This window comes from Homo sapiens, chromosome 11 (genome assembly GCF_000001405.40).
Source record: "Homo sapiens chromosome 11, GRCh38.p14 Primary Assembly".
In the NCBI taxonomy this organism is placed as follows: domain Eukaryota; kingdom Metazoa; phylum Chordata; class Mammalia; order Primates; family Hominidae; genus Homo; species Homo sapiens.
The window spans coordinates 85,297,571-85,323,899 of record NC_000011.10 but is presented as its reverse complement, the minus strand read 5'-3'; the positions used below and the strand labels follow the sequence as shown (position 1 = coordinate 85,323,899).

The 26,329-nt window shown below is 36.6% G+C and overlaps 1 protein-coding gene across 13 annotated transcripts in view, besides 1 other annotated feature; it reads left to right on the top strand.

Annotated features, from left to right (window-relative positions):
* DLG2 (discs large MAGUK scaffold protein 2) overlaps positions 1 to 26,329 on the top strand; it is a 2,173,362-nt gene that overhangs the window by 304,474 nt on the left and 1,842,559 nt on the right. For 4 of the 13 annotated variants that reach the window (XM_047426494.1, XM_047426498.1, XM_047426496.1 and 1 more), the window contains one exon: positions 14,877 to 14,915. The exons of the other annotated variants lie outside the window; for them this stretch is intronic. In XM_047426494.1, the coding sequence (XP_047282450.1) occupies positions 14,877 to 14,915 (39 nt within the window). The remainder of the gene's footprint in view (positions 1 to 14,876; positions 14,916 to 26,329) is intronic. 13 annotated transcript variants of the gene reach the window in all.
* Positions 6,761 to 6,830: an enhancer, noted in NCBI's record as "active region_5360". NCBI's record gives its function as "activates an Ori minimal core promoter by ATAC-STARR-seq in GM12878 lymphoblastoid cells {active_cell/tissue: GM12878}" and the evidence as "EXISTENCE:reporter gene assay evidence [ECO:0000049][PMID:35858748]".

The window sequence follows — 26,329 nt, the reverse complement described above, 5'->3', positions numbered from 1 at the left end:
GATTAATGGATTTAAAAAAAGTGGTATATATTCACAGTGGAATATTATTCAGCGATAAAAAGAATGGAATTCTGTCATTTGCAGTTCATGGATCTAACTGGAGGACATTATGTTAAGTGAAAGAAGTCAGACACAGAAATACAAGTATTGTATATTCTCACTAATATGTGGGAGCTAAAAAAGTTCACCTCCTGAAGGTAGAGAGTAGTATGATGCTTATTAGAAGCTGAGAAAGGTAGTAGGGAGGAGAGGATAAAAAGAGGTTGGTTAATATGTAGAAAAATACAGTTAGGTAGAAGGAATAAGTTCTAGTGTTTGATAGCACAGTAGAGTGAGAATAGCTAACAATAATTTATTGTATATTTCAAAATAGCTTGAAGAGAAGATTTGGAATGTTCCCAACACAAAGAAATGACAAATATTTGTGTTGGTAGATATTCTAATTTCATTTATTTGATCATTGCACACTCTATGCATGTATCAAAACATATGTGCCCCATAAACATGTAAAATTATATGTCAAAAAATAAAAAGAAAGAAGGGCATTTAATAAGTAATTATCTGTGCAACAAATGCTTTGCAAGGGAAGTTTATGGTGTTAACTTTTTCTGCCTAGTTAGGAAAGAGATCCTTTGGAGTTGATATTTCAGCTGACAATATTTTAGGAGACTGTTAGTGATAGTAATGGTTGGAAGAGGGTAGAATACTAATATTAGGTCAAAGGCCTACAGGCAAGAGAGAGAGAAAGGTTTCCTCCAGCTCCTCACAGTGACCCAATATGGTACAGAGTGAAGGAAAAAGTGACAGGTGAGTTAGAAAGAACATAGATTATTGGGGGCCTTGCAGGCCATATTAAGAATTGTTTTACTTTATTTTATTAATAAATGCAATGAACAGTCATTAAAAAGTTAAATCAATGGGGGTTGTGTGTGCATCATGATCAGACTTATAATTTTAAAAGATTATCCTATTTAAAGGGTAGAAACAGGAATCATAGGCTCTTGTGGTAGTGCAGGTGTGAGATGTTGGTTACCTGGATTTAGCTAGCAGCAGCAGGAATGGGAAAAATTGACAAATCAAGAGATATTTATTATATAGGATCTATAGACTTCATAATTGATTGGAGAGGGGGAAGTGGCAGAGAGGGAGGTATCAAGGATGACTTTGAAGTCTCTGACAGAGCAACTGGGTGATCAGTGGAAATATTTCTGGATGTAAGAAATACTAGTGGAGGAGAATAAGATTTTTGTTATTGTTTTTGTTTTTGGTTATGGAACCATTTACTGTTTCAAAGTAATAAGAGAGGTTTAAGGATATGTGGTTAAGGTGTTTTTGAAAATTTTCATTGTGGAAAATGAGAGAACAGTCTACATAGGGAAGCAATATCAGCTGATATTAGTCACTAATCTGAGGTTGATAATCACTAATTTATAATAATGCAAACCTTTCCCATTGTGTGATTTTACTTAAACTGTGCTCAGCAGCCAAGATGCTAGTATAGGTTAGGCAAATGATTTTCATCCAAAATTTCCAAGATTGAGGATTTCCTGTACTCAGTGGAATGACCATAGAGGAAAGGAGTTTAGAATCTTAATGAGAGAGTGACTGAAGTGATGGACCAAGGAATATAAGCTGAATGGATAGGAAAATTTACACGGAAAGGGGCTTATGGGTGGCGGTGATGTAGAGGAATCAGTACACTGGAGGTACCACTGGAGTCAAAGTACAGATGAGGTGAGAAAAGGATATGGTGACCAGAAGGTGGAGTGTATCTATTTATGATATAGTAGGGCACTTTGGAGTGATGATAAGGTTTGGAGAGTAGGTATAAAAGTGGAGTAGAGGAGAATATTACTGAATATAATGAAGTAAAATGTAATAGGAAATAGGGAACTGCTGCCACACATTTCCTGGTTGATTCTTATAGCCTTAATATAACATCGATCCCTTTTTTCTCTCGGAACTGCCCCATTTCTCTGCTCCCATTTACTCCAGACTCAACAAATTTATACACACTTACTGTCTGCATCTCTTTTCCTCTAATTCTCTCTTGAACTTACTCTTCTTGCTGACCACGTCACTAAACCTGTCCTGCGAAGATCCTGTCAGTGTTATCAATGACTAAACATTGATTAGACCTCATCCTCCTTGACTTATCAGAATCTTTTGTCACAGTTGATCCTTTCCTCCTCCTTGATACATTTAACTCTATTTGGCTTCCTGGATACTACAATCCTTTGCTTGTCCTCCTACTTCACTGGCTGCTCCTTCTTAGTCATCTTACCTAGATCTTCCTGTTTATTTTCCCAAATCTCTAAATATTGAAATGTTCCAGGACTCACACCTGTAGCCTTGCTTGCTCATTGCTTCTCTTATGTACCCTATCATCCTTAGTCTGTATTTTCTAGCTGTACATACTCGCTAGATTATTTTATTCAGTTTTGTGACTTAAATGCAATCTATATAATTCCAACTTCTAAATTTATATCTCTAGTTATAAGTTTTCTTTTAAGCTCTAAACTCATAAAACCAAACACTACTCAATATTCACCTTGGAATACCTTACAAGCATCTCAGGTTTATAATAGCCAATACTAAGCCCTTGATACTCAACTTCTCCCATTGTCTTTTCCATCTTAATAAATAGTGACTCAATTTTTCCACTTGCCCAGGCTAAAAAACTACTTTTTCTCTCTCATAGCCTTCATGTAGTCTATAGGCAAAAATCTCTTTCTCCCTATCTTCAAAATATATCCAATATTTTTTCATCACTTTGTCCATTATTACCCTCATTCAAATCACTATCATCTCTTACCTAGAGTGCTCAATAGTTTCCTATTCCCTAAACAGTAGCTGGAGAGATTATTTTATTTTATTTTATTTTATTTTTTGGACCATACATGAGACTAAGGAGGGACACTTTAAAATGGAAGTTAGATCATAAAATTTCTCTATTCGAAAACTTCCATTGATTTTCCTTACTGAAAAAAAAAATCCAAAGGTCTAAACAATAAGCCACCACACCATGTTTCCAACATCCTCTTCTGTCATGATTCACCTTCATTCACTCTGCTCCAGTCTCTGTGGCTTTTTGTTGATTCTTGAGCATGAATAGTACATTCCTGACTTAAGATATTTTCACCCTCTGTTCCCTTTTCCTACAGTACTTTATCCCTAGATAATTACATGGCTTGCTTCATCCTTTCTTCAAGTGTCTGTCTACTTTTCACCTCTTTACTGACTATTTGATATAAAGTAATCTTTCTCACTGTTCATCCCTTTCACCTCTTGAATTTTTCTCCAGAGCACTTGTCACTACCTGACATATATCATATATTTATTTTGTGTATATAATTTTATATTTTTTCCTCACACTTGAATGTGAGCTTTATTAGACTAGGAATACCATCTCTTTTTTCATTCTCTTCTGTAATTCCTGTGCCTGTCAGTACATTTTTTTGAATGATTAAATGCCTCTTTTTGATTAAGAGACTGCATAATATACAAATAAAAGTGCTGAACCAAGAATTAGATGGACCTGATTTCCTAAGCTAGCTCCCTACTTACATGCTCTGAAAATTTAGACAAGCTGCTTAATTTCTCTGAGCTTTAGCTTTGTTATTTGTAAAATAAGGCTGCTGGACTAGATGAATTCTAAGGACCTTTCTATCCCTAAATAATGCTCATGACTCTAAATTTTCATTCTTTGAGCTTTCACTCCTTTCACCAATATTTTTATCACAGCATATGGTAACTTATCTACAGGATGATGCTGAGGGATGTAGTCTATAAGATGGCATGTGCTGCTAGCACATGGCTTAGTTCAGGCATCTAGAAAATATATGAGAGGCTCAAAGAGCATGGTTTAAGAAATTTTTCTACCTTCATCTCAGTTATGGGCTTTACCTGATATGAAGGAATGAAACATGATTGAGTACCCAAAAATGTTGCAATTTTTTTCACAAAAACTAAAATAGCCAAGCTGTAAACTTTGACTTAGGAGTAATTTAAGATCTCAACTACTTAGAAATAAAATTTATGGTGTAGGCTCTCCAGATTTTAAGTTGCAATTGAGAAGGTCATCAGAGACACAGGATTTTAAGACTTATATCTCCTTAAGAATTAGAGAGCATAAATAAAGTTATACTGTGTTGAATATGTTAATGCACATTGAACATTCTCCAGGAATGGTGCCTCAGTGACCTGTCTTGGCAGGCTGGTTGCTTCTTCTTTAAATTTTCAAACTATTCAGACACTGCGTTCCATTTCTCTTCTCTACCTTACCTTGTGGATGATATCTTTTTATACCATGAGTTTTATAATTTAACACAGATTGCTGAAACTGTACATTAAGAGGCTTTTCTTCAAGATATAGAGGATAGTGTTTATACAAATTATATGATATAGCCATAAAACATTTATATAGCAAGAGTTCTAGAATTTAGTGAATAAATATTTATGCTATTACAAAGCAGTAGAGAAAACCAGAAGGAAAGTGGCATCTATTAAAATGTTTCATAAAGTTAATGATGTACTGGAACTACTCTCCAAGATTACTATTGTTAAACCTTAATATTTACACTTTTAGATGAGTTTGAAAGATAAATTACTATTTTCAACTTAATTTTGGGAAAAAAGAAAGATTTAAAAGCATTCTTGAATTTTTTTTATTGTTTCTAAGGTTATAAGTCTTTGTGGTTTGAGACTGTTAAGAAATAGCATATTATATGGTTTCATTTTGGGCTTAAAGAAATTGCTTAGCTTCACATTATCCTGAAGTAGGGATGTATAAAAAGAACCAGAGAAGTTACAGATAGAGTCATTTGAAAAATAACATTTTTATTTAAAAATTTAAATGCAACTAGGCATTTGTGAGATGTTCTTGTTTTAAATGACTTACTGTCATCTACATAATAGTAAAGCTTAGCTTGTGTTGCTTTTGTTAGTGATGGCTTTATTTGTGGATGAAATTAGCAGTGGCAAATTGTTATGTAGTCATTGTATAATGTGACAAACTTTGATACCTTGAATCCATAGTTGTCATGGATTCTTAACCTCAACAGTGGACCTTAGTGGCAGAAGTGTTTTAGAGGGTTGCTGGAAGGAAGTGATAAGAGGTGGAAAGTAAAGATGCTGCAACAGTATTGCTCAACTTTCATGTTTCCTTATGGTCTTTCCTTACCTTCTGAGTAATGAAATTATTTTTTCTTAGAAATCTTTCTTTCATTTGTTTCCTCCCTAATTCCTCCTTCTCTAATATTTTCTAGTCCGGTTGGCTTCATATTTACTTCCCTTTCCCTTCCCTTACATTTCAACCAAGTGGAATTTACAAAGCCTTTTGGGAAGCATTTTATCAGCTCAAAGATGATGAAAAATGAGAGCTTTGGCCAAGATAAGGCTGCCTGGTTTCTTTTTTGCACTTTTATTCCTCAAAACGTAGAGTGTACTTTCCTTTTTTTTCTACTCATTAATGTTGTCAACTATTTATATCATGAGTCTACTGGGTTTCTGCTGCTTTATTCTGTTTTGTTAGAACTTGATAAACATTGATCAGGAGCCTCTAGTTCTCAAAGTGCAATTTCTGGAGAAGGATTTGGCCACATTGGAAAATTGTAGTAGACTTTTACTTTGCCAGAAGTCCATTTAGTGTGGGAAGAATTAATTCTCTGATTCAGTGATCATTTAGGGATGCCAATATGCTGGCTTATTTCACATGCAGCTGGTCTTAAAACTACATTTTATAAATTTGACAAGTTATTGATAATCCACTCAGATTAAATACTGCTTCTACTTTTTTTTGACTTTGGATACTAGAGGAGAAGGGTAAATAAGAACAAGAAAAAAATTGTGATGGATTGGCATGGAAATGTAATTAAATTGGTTCATAAAATTATCCTCAGATGTGTGCTACCTCCTGATTATGAGTATTGTGGAACAGACACACAGATGTGCACACTTACATGAAATATATCCTAAATTGGGTGCTATTTTTTTTTTAGGTTCAGGGTACATATGCAGATATGTTACATAGGTAAAATTGTGTCATGGGGATTGTTATATAGATATTTCATTACTCAGGTATTAAGCCTAGTACTCATTAGTTATTTTTCTCCATCCTTTCCCTCCTCCTACCCTTCATCCTCCAATAGGCCCCAGTGTATCTTGCTCCCTTCTATGTGTTCATGTGTTCTCATCATTGAGCACCTATACTGTAGTTTATTTACTTATTATTTTGTTCAGTCCCTAAAACTGGGGGGAACTTAATGGGGTCCTCCTAAATGCTCAATTCTTTCCTTGGAGGAAGGAACAAAAGACTATTCTCATAGCATCCAGCACATACCACTATTTTAGTGCTTCCTGTATTTTCTTCCAGTAAGACCCTGTCTCTACCATCAGACCATAAAACATTAGACAGCATATTCTTTAATTTTCTTTTACTCATTTCTTTCTAGGTTAGGGCCTGCTACATACTGGGCAAATTAATGTTTTTGGAGCATAAAATTATATCATGAGGCTGCCTTCAGAGTGATGATTCCTTCCGTTTGTAGCTGGAGAAGTTGGCATGTTAGTTTCTCGGTAGCTTTAGTTAGAATAAAGGATTAATATTGAACCCTTTCAGTGGCCTTACATTATTTTTAAATAAAGACTAAAATGGAGCCCCGTCTATGTCTGCAGCTTTACCACATCCTCTTTTAGTTGTTGTCACGCCACACTGGCTTTCTCTCAGATCCTCAAACAAATTATGTTGCTTCCTGCGTCAGAGCTTTTACACAAGATGTTTACTTGCCTGGAATACAATGCTTCTGTATTTACTTTTCCACTTCTGCCCCCTTTTACCTTCAAAGTTGATATTCATACTTTGGATCAAAACTGGGAACAAGGAAGCCATTTCTGACACTTCAGAACAGGTCATGTTCCCCAGTTGTGCTATGTTGTATCTTTTTTACATTGCTTTTACTACAGTTTTGATTTATTTAAGTATGTATTTGATAAGTTTTGTGTCTCCCATAAGACTGTAGATTCTAGGATGGTGGGGACCGTACTTTTATTTACCATTTTATCCTTAGTGCCTTGCCTAGTCCCTGGGACAAAGAAAATATCCCAATTTTTTTGAAATAATAAAACCCAGTTGTATTTTACCTGTTTTTTTTCTTCTGCCAAAGAAGATTTTCTATTTTTATGTGAATAAAATAGGGAAGCCCTGTATACAGATAGGGTTGAGTTTGTCCTGGTCACTCTCTTCAAATACCCAGTTGTATCCTATCTTTAGCTTTTGTACATGAGAGGCATTGGCTAAGAGCAGCAAATAGGCACAAGAAAGAAGACACATTCTTCCTTCTTTATTCTGCTGCATCATCTATAGTATTCATTTATTCCCCTTCTTTCCTGCTACCTGTAACCCACCTTGCTCCATAATGATGTCCCTTTGAGATTTTGAGGTAATATATTAATCCCAATATGGCTCCCACTTGGTAGGAGATAGTACCAGATATTTAAAAATATAAGTCTTGTCTTTCTGTCCATCTCATGCTCAAATAACTAAACATCAGGATAGCTTAAATCGGTGTTTAGATTATAGAAATATGTCTTTCTAGTTTATGAGAGTTATTTATAAATCGAAGTAGCATTTTAAATTAATTACACTAGCGACATTGAGAATAGTCATTTTAGAACAAAGTTTCAGCTAATAAGAAACAGTGATCTGTTAAATAGTAGTAGTTTATTTGATCTATTTGCAGATGAATCTGACTGGATTCACATTCTTTAAAAAAAAAAATCTTCTGTTTGACCTGTTCGAGCTGTGCTCAAGCCCAGCTAATGTAATAAGTGGTGAACAGTAATTCAACCCTTTAGTTTATTTAAAAGTTTTTCCTGTTATGAATTGGGGTCAAATCGTCCTCAGAGAGGGGAGGGACACAGCTGGGCATTGGCAGATAATTCAGGTGAGGGAGAACCTTTCACCCTGTGATTGGGGGACATTTTATTTTTTCCAGAGCAGAGGAGACAGGGAAATCCTTGTATTTTTCCAGATCTGAAACTGCTCCTCTGATTGAGAGAGGTGAAGAGGCAGTTTTTAAATATCCTACACAGCCTCCTGGGAGGAAATAAGAAACAAGGTGGCCTCACTCCTGTGTGGACTGAGCGTTAGAGAATTAGCACCCCAATAGGACAGCTATAGAATAGGCAGTTTGAGAAAACAATTTTGGTTTTAAAGAAGCATGAGAGCTGCCTTAACAGGTGTCCTGTCTCTATCTTGGGTTGAGGTACCAACATCTTTGGTGTGTCCTGATATATGATGTTCACTGTTGCTCCCTGCATTGGAAGATGTTCGATATCAGTGTGATGCATGCACAGCAATCCAGAAATACATAGTAGCATGTTGTAGAGCAGTCTTACACCAGGTGATGACTCCAGGGTTATCCCACTGCTGAGTCCTCTGGTGGAAGAGGACTTGTTAGCAGAACTGAGCCTTTTATGATACCATATCAGAACTAATGGTATGCAGGGAGTCCTTGCAGCTGGAGTGGTTGTTTATCAACCTTATTGAAGATTCTGCTAGGAAAAACAGGATGGCAAGACAGGATTGGATGGAGTTAAAGTTGGCTCATGCTAAGACAGGACAAGATAGTGGAATAGCCAGAAGCAATAATGCTAGCCTGGGACACTTCTTGAGGTAAAAAGCACATGGGGAAGCTGTGAGCTCAGTGATGAACCTGCCAGGGACTTGTTTTGGTGCTGGTGCTGTTACTTAATTCCTTAACTATCTTTTCCAGGCTGGAATCTTATTTTATGACAGGCGTTTTTTATATGTGCTCTAATCCCTCCCAACAACCCTCAAAGATCAGAGGCACAGGCCTAGATAGCTCATAATTCTCTCATGCCAACCTCATGTACCCTGAGTTGCCTCTCACTTTCCAGGCTTAGATGAAATGACACAGAGCCTGTGAAATCTGGCTTGTGAAATAACCATTGGTGGGCTGGACGACACAACACTGAAGTATGGGGGAACTGGTTCTGTATGAAGGTGAAATGGAAGATTGAGGTACACTACCAGGCTGACAATGTATCTCTCCTTTCTCCCCTCTGTGAACTGTCCCACAGTATAGTTTCTCCTTGAAAGCCTTCCAAAGAAGTATCCTGTGCTGAGAGAGCTGGTAGGGCAATTCATGGCTTTTCATAAAGCCAATGCAATTATGCATTATACTACATTGCTTTGCACGTTTCTTTGCTCATTTTCTTCTGTAGTATTTCTCTTATTGCTCCTCCTAAATAAAGGACTTTCACCCCCCAAAATAAAGTACCAGAAATTTAATTTGCCTCAGGCTCTACTTATAGGACACTGGAGCTAAGACACACCACTATCATCTGAAATTTGACAAAATTAGGATGTATATATATTATATGTATATGTGTGTGCATGTATAATATATATGTATGTTTGTATATGAGTATATATGTCAATATATATACATATAGATATATTTATATGATCCTCTCTATTTTTGAATCTTTTCCTAGCTGACCTGTTTTTCCTTTCAGATAACATCTAACCCTATCCACAGTTATTGATATTTTTAAAAGATATTTTATTAGGAGTGAGCTTGGGATTTGCTTTATTTTTCTATCGTGTTAGACAGAAATATTTTAGAGTTCAGAATACCAAAAGGAAACAGTTAATTACTTTGTGTTTTTATCTCCTATACTATCCAGAAAATCAGGAGCCAGTTTTGTAGCTGTCATGTTGCTTAGCACAGAGCTTGGCATATTGTATGTTCTCAATAAATGTTCCTTGAATAAATATAATAACATCAGTCCACTAAAATTTAGAAGCAGTCTAATTGTTCTTTACTTTTTGTTTCATTTTGGGGCCATTGCTTAAGCTTTCTGTAAAGCTCTTCCTTATATACAACTTTTGCTGTGAAATTTTAAACACAGAGGGAGTTGTGTTATGTAAATTTTTCAGGAATTCTATTGACTTCTTGTTACAGATCAGATTGATTTTTAAATTACTTTGGAGAGACCCAATGAGTTTTGCAATTGAGGTCATATATATTTGCAGGAAGGTATTATCTCAGTAGGAGTGCAGTTATTGCTCAAGAGTTTTTAACTGCTGAATAAAAAAAAAGAGAGATACATAAACTTTTACATATTAGGAAACAAAAACCAAGAAGTAAATTATTTTACCTTCAATGATGCTGTGGTTTTCAATTATGAATAAATAGGTTCATTCACATTTAAATATTAGTTATGTAATGGCATTTGTAAGTTTTTAAATAGTTTTCTCCATGCAGCACCTCTGTGGAGATGCTTTTACATGAAAAACAATTGTAAACACTTTGACTATTGGATATAGACTATGTTACATTATTGTAGTTTATTAATGTACTTAAATGTCCATGAAGAGATGTGGAGATGTTTTCATTTGCTGGGAATCTGTGTAAGTTGATCTATCCTTGTATTTGTTAACATTAGCTACTATAACAGATAAATCCCAAAATCTCAGTGGCTATACACAATAAGGATTTATTTCTTGTTTATGTCAAAATCTAATGTGACTGTACATGGTTAGGTAGTTTTCCCTTTAGCATTAATTCAAGAACTTTAATGTTTTTCATCTTATGACTTTGCCATCTTCAACAAGTAGGTCAAGGGGCTCTGAAGGTCACTCTTTGGATCATTTCCATTCTAGCTAGCCAAAAGAGTTAAAAGAGGAAGGGGGATCACCTGTAAAAAGGTTTTTTCCCCTTTTTTAAAAATTTATTTTTTTCTTTCTAAATATGACTTCCCTGAACCTGTGAGAAGTTTTTATTGGTCAGGTCTAGATGTGACACACATCATGTATGGTCTCGTCTCAAAAGCCATAATTCAGTTATATAGCCACAGCCAAATGCAAGGGAGACCAGGAAGTTTGACCTAGATGTATATCCAAAAGGGTTTTGGTGATTACTAGAAATCTCTGCCATAGTTCCTAAAGAGTGTTTTAATTCTAAATAAGTTGAGGGTAGTTTTAAAAATTCATCATTTCTCAATATTTTTCTAAATGTTTTTCTTGCCAAAGCCACATCCATCAATTTAATGATAAAAGTGCTTGCTCTATGGAAAACAAGTTGAAGTGGACATCACACTTCATAGACAGAAAACAGTCTTTCACAAGATCTTGAGTGATTTTGAATTTTTTTAGACTCTAAAGTATTTACTTTTTCAAGCTCCTAGGTGAGTGAAAGTATTTTTAAAAGGTAAATGGAGACAAATCTGCCTTGAATTTTCTCTGGTCAGAATTTTGTTTATCAGAGTCAAACTGAAACTTTAGGATCTGGGGACTTAGGAATTTGAAAATCTTTTCATGCTTTCAGCATGAATGTATGATATCTCAATAAAAACAATGATCATTATCAAATTTAATTTATAACATCTCAAAGAATGTTAAATATGGTAAGTTTATAAATTATAATTTAAATATAATTGTATATTACATGTAACTCATAATTACAAAATTATAATTATATACTTATAAGGTTATAAATTATAATAAATTATAATAAGTTAAAATTTTACAAAGCTGAGAGATGTCATTTTTAGAATTCCTTATATAGGTTTAATATTGGCTGCCTAAGTAATATGGATGGTATTATAACAAAATAAGGTATTATCCATTATTGGTTCATAAATATATGCATTCATACAAAACTGAATAAGACACAATGTTTTTTCTTAAGAAGCCCTAATCTTACATGTGAGATAATTAATAGAGACAATACAGTGTGACACATTTTACTATAGAGGAATGTACAGAGTATGGTTAAAACACAGAGATAATTGACTTTTGAAAAATTATTAGAAGTTTGGCCCATAAAGAAAAGGGAGAAGAACATTCCTTGTAGAGATAAAGAGCACAGGACAGAGTCATGAAAAACAATGGTATGTTTAGTGAGTGTTGATTAGGTACATGTAACTAGAGACCAATAAAGATATTTGGTATTTTGTGGTTCTTGGCAGCATACTTTATACTATAGAGCCAACCAAGGAGTGTGACTAGGGTGGCGAGAAGGCTTTGAAATTCTATTGAATAAAAAATAAGGAAGAATGCTTGAAAAGTTCTAGGTGAATGAATGTGTAGAGTGAAATAGGACTTTGGAAAGATCTGAGCTATCTTCAATATTTGAAGGGCATGTTGTAAAGGGTATAAATTTAGTCTGTGTGGTTCAGAGGAAATAAATAAGTCTAAGAGATAAAAGTTATCTATAAGGTTTCATTTCAAACTGTAGACAACTTCTGAATTTCGAGCTATTCAATGATGGGACAATTTACCTCAGCATGGGTAACCAGAGACTGAGTAATCCTTTATCAGATTATCATGTAAAGGGGATTATATACTTACTGGAAGATGTCATGATTCTATTGATTTTTGGAAGTATTATAGGATGGAGTCTTCAACTGGATTGTGTGGATGTAAATCTGGGCTTCACCACTTACTATAGGTGTGACCATGGCAAGTTATTTAAACTTTCTGTATCTGTAAATAAGGCTGATAACAGCATTGGCCTCAAAGAATGTTTGTGAAGATTAACTGAGATAATAAATGGCAAGTGCTTAGTTTCTGGCATATGGTAAACATCCTACAAATATTAATTCTCATCCTCACCATCATCATCAAATGCTAGATAAATTAGCTTCATCTGTAATGGACAACATCGATATAGATGAAGAGTTGGTAAACATTTCTGTAACGGGCCAAATAGCAAATATTTTAGGCTGTGGGTCATATATTGGCTTTGCTGCATTTTTCTTTGCTTACGTTTGTTTGTATTATATAACATTTGAGAAATGTAAAAATCATTCTTAGCTCATAAGCCATATGAAAACAGACTGTGGGGGCAGGTTTGTCTATGGACTATAGTTTGCTAATCTCTGATCTACATGAATAGAGAAATTAATCAAATAAATAACAGCATAGAATCAAGATTAAGCATCTGTGTTTATTAAAAAGTTAAGGCTAAAAAGCAGATATTTACAGAGCATACATATATGAGTGGGGCATTTCAGGTCCAAACTTGGAAGAGGAAAGAAGTGCTTGCTTGTTGTAGTCACTTAGATGGAAGAGGAAGAAAGTACGATCACAAAAATGCCTATTATAGCATCAGATATAAATGTTATATAAGAGCCCAGAATAGCACGATGGCTGTAAACATGTCAGATATAAAAGCCAAGTGCCTAATTACAGTTCCCCATCTAGTCTAATCCTGTTACCATTAGCAACAGGGAGGACAGCATCTGGGTTTGCTATCCCACCAGTCTGATTTTTCTAGTTTTTCTTCCCCTTAGCAGTTGCTACCACTGCAGAGTACTGTAGGGAAAGGGATGCCCAAGACATCTGCTGGTTGTTTTAGGCCAGGCCTCTTGGGTGAAGGGACAGTCCCTTGTTGGGACTTCTTATAAGTCAGGATTGGGGCGTAGCTTTGGAAATCCTGCAGTTATTTTTAGTTTATTCAATGGAGATTAACTTCAAAAACAGACTCATGCTAACCTATTTCTATGAAGTGTGGCTAGCTCCAGAATGAGGGATTGGTTATCTTTACTATTTTCTTCTTCTATCTTCCTGACCAATATTTTGTCCACCCAGGACACCAACTTTGCCAGCATAAGAATGCTGAGCAAAGAATTAGACAAAGGGTGTTAGATATTCTCAAGGAATATATACCTCAAGCTAAGGCAGTTTGATGGATTATTTTTGTCTATTCTAGGGTGATTTGTATCAAGAACCAGGAATCAGTACCTTTCATTTTAGATAGTGCTGAATTAAGACTGACAAACTCTTAATTCCTCAATTACTTTTCCTATCAGTTACCAATGCAGTGTTCCCTTCAAACCAATTGGATGGTTTATAGCTTTCTAAAATGATTGTATCAGCATCTGAGAGACTGCTATGTACCAGGTAGCATGTTATTAGTAGGAATATGGTGATAAACAGAAAGCAAAATCCTGACCCTCAAGGAACTCATAGTTAAAATACAGTGCCATAATGGCTATGGGAGAGATAAGCAGAGGCAAACACAAAACACAGAACAAGGGCACCAGACTCAGCCTGCAGGAATCAGGGTAAGATGATACTAGAGGTGAGTTAAGGGATAAAAAGTAGAAGAAATTTTCAGGTGGAGAGAACAGTACATGTAAAGAAACAGAGCTGAGAGACTGCACAGCATACCCAAACAAATTCAGGTAAATTTGTGTGTCTCTAGTGATGGGCAGGGACAGGGAGGATGTCAGGTTGTGGGAATAAAGACATAAGCAGGCTATGAAGGGCCTTGTCTTTTGTGGTAATGACTATATGTTTCATTTAAATGCCTATTGGGAATCTTTTCTTAGTAACAATTAGAAACAATTTTTGCAGATTAATAGTTTAATGGTTTATAACTTGGTTTTACTGGAGAATGACTTTTTATTGACTTCATGCTAATTTTTTTTTTTTTTTGGTAGAAAACCCCTATATGGAGTCTGTGGTCCATATATAAAATTGGAATTCATCAGTTTGCTATTACTGTAAAATTGCTACATAATAAGCCATCCCAAAACTCAGTGGCTTAAGATAGCAATCTTTTATACTCATGGATCTGTGTGTTGGCTCAGGATTATCTGAGCTGGACTTAGATTGGTTGGGAGGTCTTGGCTGTGCTCATGTTACATTTTTTTTGCAGGTGGATTGATATGTATTGTATTTGACTGAGGTGGCTCTGGTACATGTCTCTAAATCTTCTCCTGGGACTGAGAAGCTAATTTGGGCATGTCCTTTTTATGTTGGTGGTAAATATAGGAGACTGGACAACCTCCTAAGACCTGGGCTCAGATTGGCATATCATTATTTTCTCCCTATTCTATAGGCCAAAGCAAGACACAGGACCAAGGCCAACATCAATGGAGTAAGTATATGCATCTCATGGAAGTGAGGCGAATGGGTGTCAATGTCTGAATAATGAATAATAATATTACCCACCATAGGGAAAATAATAACAATAGTAGTATTTTGTGTGTGAAGATTAAATGATGAAATAAGTCATGTAAAGTACTCTCTATAGTCTGCCATATAAGGAATATTAAATAAATGCTAGCTAACATTATTATTAGCTAGTAAAGCTTATATAGTAAAGTTAAATAATTTTGCATATTAGTTAGAGTCGTGGAAGGAAAGGAATCACACTCTCAAAAGTTTAATTGAAGATAATTTATTAGAGGGGTTATTTAGACAGATGTGTTCATAGTTAAGGGGAACTACAAAAATCTGGCCATCATCATTACACTTAGGTCCAAAGGACAAAAGGAAGTTTGACCAGGATTCGGTAAGAGCTTCAGCTGCAAGAGAGGGGTTGCTGGATAGGAGCTTTGCTCTTAGGGAGAAGAACACAACCACTGGCAAAAAAATACCCTGACCTTCTCTTCTCCTATTCTCTGGTTTTCTGCCAGAGCCTCACATTAGCTGATCCCAACCAGAAGCCAAAAGGCAAAGAATCTTAGTGACTTAGTCTGTAGAAATCGGCATCCTGGGCACATTGCAGGAAAAAGAAAAGTGAATGGATGGTAAGGGGTAAATAGGATAACTAGCATATTTTGTGGGTCAGTTTTTTTTTTTAATTCCTTTTTTCCCCTTAATTTTTTCTTTAAATTAGAAACTGGCTTTCTGAAAAGAGTTGTTACCTTTTCTTTCTTGTTTTATTTTATTTTATTTTATTTTATTTTATTTTATTTTATTTTTTGAGACAGAGTCTCGCTCTGTCACCCAGGCTGGAGTGCAGTGGCATGATCTCAGCTCACTACAACCTCTGCCTCCTGGGATCAAGCGATTCTCCTGCCTCAGCCTCTGAGTAGCTGGGATTAGAGGCATGTGCCACCACACCCAGCTAATTTTTGTATTTTTAGTAGAGAAGGAGTTTCACCATGTTGGCCAGGCTGGTCTTGAACTCCTGACTGCAAGTGATCTGCCGGTCTTGGCCTCCCAAAATGCTGGGATTACAGGCATGAGCCACCGCGCCCAGCCTCTTGTTTTATTTTGACATAAGCACCTGTAACTGTCAAAAAACATTGTAAGTCTAATATATCAGTGGTTTTATCATCCAATTAAACACAAATGAAACTGTGCCTAAATAGAGAGACCAGACTAGATAGCACATGGATAAGGAACTAAATCAGTGTCAGTAAAGAATCTATTTTCAGTTTTGAAAGTGGATCAGTACTGTGGCAGGACCAGGAAACATCTCTTTCCCATTGGTGTTGGGAATTATTTTATACTATGGGGTGATTCAACATTCCTGTGAAATTGAGGAAAGGGATCATCGTGGTTTAGAGAAAAATGACCTCATTATGAGTTTGGCTCTTCTCCTCTGTCACCTAGCCAACGTCTGCTAAAAAAATGCTTGAAGAAAGATTTCCATATAAAGTAGTTATCTTCATAATTAAATTCTACACTAACTAAAAGAGGATTTTTTTTTCACATGCTTAGAATCTAGGCAGCAATTTTAGTTCTTTTTCTCTTTTTTTCCCACCGCTTACAGTCTGTCAAACTATGTTATGTATTATATATCTCTAACAATCTTTCTTTTATTACTTGTCTTGAGTCTTCTATTTCTTCGATTTCTGTTTTATGTACTTTTAATTTTTCCTCCAGTTTTCTTCCGTTCCATTTTTGGTGGTGTTGTTTTGACAGATTGCAGTCACAGGCATTCATTCATACATTTAACAAATGTTTGTGGAGCACATGCCTTGTGCCCTAAAGACAAGGTCAGCGTCTTCTTTCGTTATACTGTGTGGATGGCCAACCTGTCTTTGCCTACAATAGTTTATTCAGTTCAATTGTTGCTTATTTCTTGCAGTATTTTTCATCCCCCCTCCTTGCAGCCTTTGCATTTCTTCTTGAGATGACATTGACTTTGTCATGAGTTCCCAAATTCACAACTTTCATTAGCATAACATTGCTTTACTAATAGAATTTAGAGCTAGGGAGTCTTCAGTCTTCCAGGTTACATTAAAAAAGGTTAAACTGGCCAGGCGTGGTGGCTCACGCCTATAATCCCAACACTTTGGGAGGCCAAGGTGGGCGGATCACGAGGTCAGGAGATTGAGACCATCCTGGCTCACACAGTCAAACCCCGTCTCTACTAAAAATACAAAAAATTAGCCGGGCGTGGTGGTGGGCGCTGGTAGTCCCAGCTACTTAGGGGAGGCTGAGGCAGGAGAATGGCCTGAACCCAGGAGGTGGAGCTTGCAGTGAGCCAAGATCGTACCACTGCATTCCAGCCTGGGCCACAGAGCAAGACTCCGTCTCAAAAAAAAGGTTCAACTACTGACATACATGTGGTCAGATCTCCACTAATAGTTCCTAAAGGGTTGGAAGGGCTCTTCGGCCCCATTCACCTGGCAGCAGCAAGTAAATCTGGACAGGTTGTAGTTAATCTCTAAGCCAAGAGCCTGAGACTAGGTTTATTTGCCAGCTATGTATTTTTAATACCCATCTCAAACATTTATCTCCATTCCTCCTACTTGGGTCAGGCATTTTATAGAATGTAAGCTCTGTGAGAGAAAGGCCCTTTCTCTTTGCTGTATCCAAAGTACACAAAGCAGTGGCAGGTACATAGAAAGTACTCAATAAATATTTGTGAAATAAATGTATCATAAATGGTGGTGGCATAGAAGAGACTTGCAGATGAGGCTGAAACCAGGAGAAGGGGAGGTAAACTGACATTTAATGAACTTCTATTATGTGTCAGGCATCATTCTCTATATAATTTAGTTTAATCTTACAATAATTTTACAAGATGGGTATTTTCTGTATTTTATGTGAGAAGATTGAATCTCATAGAAATTAAGTAACTTGTCCACAGTTACACAGCTAGTTGGTGGCAGAGCTGGGACTCAAACCCAAGTTGGATTCTGGAATGTATCTTCTTTCCTCTCTACATTGCCTACTTGTGATCCGGGAACATATGAAAATAAAGGAGCTGGTCTATGAGAGGAGTTAGATATATACTAAGTGCTGCACATTTTCTGTGACATTACAAACATTTTTGTGTTTTCCTTTCACAGTATAAAAGAAAGAAATCCAGCCAGGCGCCGTGGCTCACGCCTGTAATCCCAGCACTTTGGGAAGCCGAGGCGGGCGGACCATGAGGTCAGGAGATCCAGACCATCCTGGCTAACATGGTGAAACCCCATTCTCTACTAAAAATACAAAAAATTAGCCAGGCATGGTGGTGGGCACCTGTAGTCCCAGCTACTCGGGAGGCTGAGGCAGGAGAATGGAGTAAACCCGGGAGGCGGAGCTTGCAGTGAGCCGAGATCGCGCCACTGCACTCCAGCCTGTGCGACAGAGTGAGACTCTGTCTCAAAAAAATAAATAAATAAATAGGAAAGAAAGAAATCCAAAGCCTATTTCAGATTCTCTGGATAACCACTTTACAACTAAGCACTGCTGCAGATTTCCCGGAAGGCCTGTAGTTGCGCTTGTGTTTACTGTTTCGTTGGTGACAAGTGGTACTCTTCAAATGTCACAGGCTATGGTAAAGAGAACAGAGGTGGACTTAATCTATAATCGCTGCTTTATACCAATCTAAAGCCAAGTTACCACAGTCAGTATCGTTTATGTGGAAAGTAGCAGCTTAGTTTCAGCCAAACTTTATCAATAGCCTGTGACATTTAAAGAGTACCGCTCTTTATTCAAGTTTGAGAAGCAGTGATGTAGTTGCTTGTGAATTAGTATATGTCTTTCATTAGATTGTAAGCTTCTCAAAACCAGAAACCATGCCATATTCATTTTGTAATCCCTTACTCTATTCCCTAATACCTAGCACAATACATGGTCATTCAATCATTCAACAAATATTTACTGAGAACCTACAATTCCAGGCACTATTTTTAGGCTCTGGTAATATAGAGTTGAATGTACCTGGAAAGATACTTGTCCTCATGGAGCGTATGTTCTAATAGGGAGAAGACAGACAATAAATACATTTAAAAATATGGAAATAAAATGCTTACATAATTGAATAAATACTATGGGGAAATAAGCAGACAAATCATTTCCATTTCCAACTTTCTACTGATGCTGCTGTTCTTAAAGTCAGCAATGACTTCCATGTTGTCAGATCCCCTGACAGCTTTACTGCCCTTTTCTGTTTAATCAAGAAGTATTCTGTACTACAGGTTGAGTATCGTTTATCGGAAATGCTTTCAACCAGAAGTGTTTTGGATTTCAATTTTTTTAATTTTTGAAATATTTATTAGTTGATCATCCCAAATCTGAATACCTGAAATCTGAAATGCTCTAATGAGTACTTAGTTTGAGCATCATATTGGCACTCAAAAAGTTTCAGATTTGGGGGCATTTCAGATTTCAGATTTTGGGATTTGGGATGCTCAACCTGTATAATCTCTTTTTCAAAAATATTGAATTTTGTTAATTAAAATTCTTGGACCTTCAGTTAGTCTCTACTGTGCATTTTCTCAGAACCTAGGATTTACCTTTCTTGCCCCCGCTTTTCTTTGCTTTGTGGTTTTCTTAAATTAATTCTGAAGTTTCTACCCAATCTCTTCATGGAAACTGCAGGCTCCTTGCAAGCAGAGGGTATGTTTTCTACTTCTCTACTTTCCTTTTATATTGCTCTATGCATAGTGGATGAACAATAACATTTAACTTGATTAATGTACCTCTGCTGTCTGGTTTGCCATAGTTTTTAAGCTATGTTCCTGGAAAATGTAGGGTTCCACAGATCTAACCCAAGCAGAATCTGCTAGGTGTAACAACAAGGCTTCCTCTTCCTTTCTTCAATAGAGCAGCTTTGTTTATTTACTTTTAGCCTTATGTATTTGGGATTGTCTAAGATTTTGTTTGACAAAAAGGTCTGATTCAAACCCTCCACAAAAAATATTTTTGAAAACCATGTATAACATTTCATTACGTCCTGGAAATTGACCAGTACACATTTAGAGGGTATGCCTTCTTCTATCTGGTCAAGGAGAGACATTTAATTTCACTTTTTAAATAAAAGTAAATGAGAACTAAATAGCAGAACTTCAAAGTTAACAGGGTCTTGGATTTCCTCTTGTTCAATTATCCATTTCTTTCAAATGAGGGAACTGGGGTCAGAGAGTTGATGTGAAGTTTATAAGGCCAGATAGCTAGTTAATGGCAATTGGGACTAGAACTCAGATCTCTGAATCTTTCTAGCACCCCATACTGCATACGCACACAGACATACACACACAAACACAATTTCTGATCTTAGTATCAACTCTGATACATGATAGTATGGTAACAGAAATTATAGAGATTGGGAGACATGAACACAACACATAGCTATGCTGCATTGTGACTTTTATATCAACCTGGGTAATAAGGGGAACATACATGGGTATGTGTACATTGCATATAAATAGCACTTAATAAATATTTATTGAATTACATGGACCAAGATATTTACATGTATGTTCCCATATTCTAATATTCTTTTCTCCCTCTGCTATTATTATCATCATTTCTCATGGTCAAAATGAACAAAGAGTGATAATGAAACCTATGTACAGTAAGATGCCAGAGATATGATTAAGATACATATGGTAGGGTAACAATTCCAAGGTTGGAAAACATAACTTTCAGCTGTGTACTTCAAAACCAAGCCTGAGCATACATTTTAGTTCCAGAGCACCACCTTCCTTGTGTTCAATTTTCCTTAAGTAATGGGGGTTTGCTGTACAAATTCAGGTGGGAATACAAAAGGTAGAGATCTAAACATTGTATGAAGCCTAAAATGTCCTTCTAAACATAAAATAAGCTCTAACTTAGGATAGTGGTTAAGAGCAGGGTTCTGGAATCAAACAAATCTGGGTTAGAATCCTGGTTCCATCACTTACTAAAGGAGTGACTGTGCTCTTCCTTAACTTTGCTCCGTCTCAATTTTCCTATTTGTGAAATGGAGATAATAACAGAACCCACTTCATAGGTAGTTGCAAGGTTTAGGTAGAATAATGCATTTGAATTTTTTATCATGTCTGGAATATAGTAAGAGCTCAATAAAAGTAAGCCTTTATTATGATTGTTCTTGTTATTGTTGTAGCTGCTGTTGTTATTAGCCACCAGGTTATTCTCCTATATCCTCAACAGCCATTCTCCCAAATCTCATCTCTACTATTACGCTGAATGTGCAGCTCTCTGTTTTGGCTTCTATTCCTCTGAAATTATCAACTAACTGACTGTTTTTTTTTTTTTTTTTTTAACTTTTCAAGTGAGAGTATCCAATTGGATTAGCCTATCACCACCTGTGTAAGGCAGAGTTCTTATACCAGGCCATTTCATACCTACTGGCCCATCTAGCAATTGACTAGTCTCAGGTCAGGTGCTCAGCAATCACCAGTCAGTCTGGGATAGCTTATCTGTAGGAAATCCTTCAGAAGGGGAATGTAGGCCCAGCAGGCATTCTGACACTTCCTAAAAGATGATGGTGTAGTTCTTACCTACCACCTTGCCTGACTAGTATGAGAAGCATAGAAAAAAGAAAGCCAAATTGTAATACTTTGATTAATAACAAATGTGATGTTTAAATGAGTAAAATATGTTATTTCTTTATGTAGTAGTATTATTAGTGAACTTAATCAGCAGAGAGAAAGAAAGTTGGAAATAACAGACCAAAAGTCACTCAGGGCAAAATCATTATTTGTGATATGTTAGTAGTGTCTGTCCAAGTTTCTGACAAACTGTAGTTACCTAAAGAGGAACAGAATGTGCGGTCAGCCTTCCAGAATCCTATTGAGTCTACCTTCCTGTGAATTATAGGTAGTTATGCAGCTGCTTAGAGAGATTTCTTCCCATGACAGTCTGACCTCATGTGCTCTTAAGATAATTTTGTGCTGAGTGTTGCTACTATACTATTTGTATTAATTCTCTCAGGCTAAAGGTAGAAAAGGAAATAATAACACAGAGAGAATAGCCATTTTCTAAATGAATCAATTTTATGACAGGGAGGGATAAGTATTTTTCTTATATCATCCATAGCTAAGTTCTAACTAGAAACTTTTTCAACTAGAGAAATTGTGGCAGCTGCTAGTTATGCATCTGTTAGGGATAAGGTTCTGATGTGCTTGGCATCTGCCTGCATAGTGACCGTTAGAGACTTATTCTTATACTTCTAGGTCCAGAACGAGCTATGACTGTAGTGGAAAGCTTCTTGGTTTGGGAACCAGGAGATTCAAGTCCTGGTTCAGCCACTACTGGCTTTGTGTTCTTGGAGAAGCCACCTTAGTTCACCAGCCTTAGTTTTTTCATTTCTACAGTAAGCAGATTGATAAGATGATTTTCAGCCCCCTCACAGTTCTAGCCCTGCATAATCGAGACTCACAGACTCCTTTTCTTTTTTACATTGGTCCATTCAACGCTTTGCTTCCAGATCATGCCATCTGAATTTTATGCCTCTGTCTTTTGTACCATATATTTGCTTTACACATCCATCCATTCATTGATTCTCTCATTCCACCTTTATAGAACGTATATAGTCTTCCTGGCAACAATGATATAAAATTTACTGACATGATCAATACTTTCAAGGTCCTAAAAACCGAGTTCAGAATACATCAGTCTACCTACCTGCCTGCCTCTCCAGCCTTATCTTATACCATTCTCTTTGTCCTTCTCTAATGAGTTGTTTTTTTCGTTTTGTTTTGTTTTGAGATGGAGTCTTGTTCTGTAAGCCAGGTTGGAGTGCAGTGGTGTGATCTTGGCTCACTACAATCTCTGCCTCCCAGGTTCAAGCAAGTCTCCTACCTTAGCCTGCTGAGCAGCTGGGATCACAGGCATGCACCACCACACCCAGCTAATTTTTGTATTTTTAGTAGAGATGAGGTTTCGTCTTGTTGGCCAGGATGGTCTTGAGCTCTTGACCTTAAGTGATCCTCCCGCCTCTGCCTACCAAAGTGCTGGGATTACAGGCGTGAGTCACCGCGGCCAGTCTCTAATAATTTTTTTAGGGTCCTTGTCATGCTTTCTCCTCTCTCAGGTTCTTGCACGTTCTCCATCTCTTCCACTTCCCTGTCCTCAAACTCCCATGCCTGAAAATGCCTACTAATCCTTCTGTCTCAGTTGAATGTTCTTCCTCCTTTGGGAAATAAACTCCCTAGAACAGGCTTTCTGTCATGTATTCTCATTATACCCTATATTCTTTAGGCCTGATATTCACTGACACTATAGTAGTAACTTGATTAAACTATTGCATATATCCAGAAAGAAAATTTTGCTTCTGGACAACATGAATGTACATGGATCCCCAAGGATTCTGCAGAATTCTAATTTTCTTTCCCATCTATCTATTCATACAGCATATGAACATCTGAGAGTCCATCTCTGATGGGCATAAGGGGTATCTCCTTTATGGTTTTCCTGCTTCTTTCTAATTTTACTCCTTGTTTGTTTTGCCTGCCCCAGACTCTAGCTTTTCCTGTAGTGATTCCATTTACTGTATCCCTGAGGAGTTGGAGGGGCAGTATTATGTTCTCAGGTCTCTACATCTTTGAAGATTGTTTTAGTGCTTCAGGTACTCTAGAGTGAAAAGTCTCTTAACACCAACAAACCTTTCTCTGCCTAACCCATTATAACTTTAATGTGTTATTGTGCTAATACACATTTTGTTTTGTTGCTCCCATTTATCAAATATCTCTTCCCATGAAGATAATTGGAAGTGAAGTATGGAAATTTGTCATATTTTGCTTAGTCTTCTTTTTTTCTACTAGACTGTTAGTTTTTATCATAGCAGAGGCTAATCTGTCTTATTCACTGCTCTATCAGTACAAGGCACACAGTCAATACTTAAGAAATATTTGTTGAAGAAATGAGTGAATGAATAAAAGGTGGGAAAGATGAACCAACCAATTTATTATTACCATATAATATGAGGCATTCTATGGCATACATATATTATATCTGTATTTGGACATATTATAGCAAAGAAGATAATGTATGTGTTATAGTTTTATAAATCAAAAAACACTATTTAGCTACTTTGGTAAGAGACTGGTAAGCTCTATACAGTACTGAAATGTTTTTCAAAGTGCAGTCCCTGGACCAGCAACACCAGCATCGCATGGGAATTTATTAGAAAAGTAAATTCTAGGCCCTACCCTAGACTACTGAATCAGAAACTCTGGTGATACAGCCCAGTAATCTGTTTTTTAACAAGCTCTTTGGGTGATTTTGGTGCACAATAAAATTTGACAGCCACTGCTTATGTGAGATAAAGAATGGAGTGTGACTTGGCCTTTAACTTTGCAAAGTTTACATGTAGGGAAATAAAACATATATTCCAATGACACAGGGTCATAAGAATCACAAGATAAATGCAAAGTGCAAAGGCAATAATGGGGAGGAAGGGAGAAATGACTTTTGGTGAAGGAGGCTTCAGGGAGAAAGAATCTTTGAGCTGGAACTGCTGAGTCATGGTCCATAAAACATCCTAGGTGACAAGAAAAGCAAGATGAACAAACAAAATCCCTGTTAACCCAGAGCAAAACAAAGAAAATCTAACAATTACTCCAGACATAAAGAGTCAGTTTGTAATAGTTAAGGCCACAGGCTTTGGAGTGAGACATACCTAGTTCCTATCCCAGCTCTGCCAGTTATAAATTAAGCAAACTGGGCAAACATCTCAACCTCTCTCTTCCTGAGTTTCTTCCTTCGTAAAGGGATAAAAATAATACCTATCTCATAGGAGTATTGGGAATAGTAAATGAGATAATGTACATACAATGCTCAACTTGCTATGGTATGTTTGATGAATGGCCTTTATTATTAACACAAAAATAGACTCTTGAAGTTGAAAAGTGGGTGAGGGGTTTGCATCTAGACAACCACAAAGAATTTACATCTTCTATGACCTAGATGTAATTTTCTTTCTTTGTTTTTTAGAAATAATTTTTAAAATTTATTTTTAGGGCATTAAATTTTTTTTGAAATAATCTCAAATGTGAAAGTACAGTACAGCACTTAAAAAAGTCTCTTGACCCATATGAGTGTTAAGTGACCAACTTGTTCCATTTCTTCCTAATACATTAGTGTATCTCCTGGGAACAAGAGCAATCTGTTATATAACTGCAATATTACCATCAAAATCAGATGGTAATATTGGGAATATTGGTATTAATGGGAAATTAACATATTGGGACATTGGTTAATTTCCTGTTAATACCAATAATACCAATATTACCAATATTGGTATTAATGGGAAATTAACAGATGTCCCAGTTAGATGTGCTTTATAGCAAAGAATTTAGTTCAGAATCACATGTCATCTTTAGTTGTCATGTCTTTCTAATTTCCTTAATTCTGGGGCAGACTCTCAGCTTTTACTTTTTTCTTTTTTTGTGACTGACATTTCTGAAATAGGAGTATTACAGAAGTGAGGCTGTGATCTTTTCATTGCATCCTATCAGGTGGCACGTAATTAGATTTGCTGCATTTACTTATGATGTTCACTCTGAGCACACAATTGAAGTTGTGTTTTCCAGGCTTCCCCACTGTGAAGTTATTTTCACTTTTGTGTATGTTTAAACTCAGACAAATTTACATCTATATTAATATCTATATTTATCTATCTCTATTGAAAACCATGAGTTCACACTGATTACTCCAGTTCCAGTCTAACACTATATAATTCATTGTAGTTTTCTCTACTGCCATATTTTCACTCTCTTTTCTGATAGATTCAAATTATCCTTATTTTATTTACTTATTTGACCCATCCTTCTGTATGTAACCAGTCTCCCATTGCTACTGCCACCCCAGCACAGATACCCTCCTCACCAAACTCAGGCTCTCACAACCCTTGCTAGGTCACTGCTCTGCATGGGAGACCTCGTCACTCTACTTAGCTAGGACAAAGCACTTCAGTCCCTTCCCATCACATGGGCGCCCTCCTCATACTACTCAGGTTTTAACTCCATGCTCAGACATTATGTAGCCTATTTGGCCTTCCTTAACTTGTTTTAGTTCCAACAGCCCATATTAGCCTACCTGTCTTCAAGGACTCTTTCCTCATTCTGTCAGGCTCTGTAACTCTGCTGTGGTCTGCCTCCATACTTGAATACCCTTCTCATCTTGATTAGGCCCTGGGCCACTCTGACACTCTGCTCTGGACCACTGTAGCTCTGTTCTCCAAACTCCTTCACCACCAGAGTAGACCTTGCTCTACTTCACCCAGTGGCTTTGGGACTGAATTGTTCAGGAAGGGAATGAAAGGGAAAGGGAAAGGGAAAGGAAAAGAATGAATGGAATGAAAAGAGAAAGAAGAAAATACGAGAAGAAGCTCAT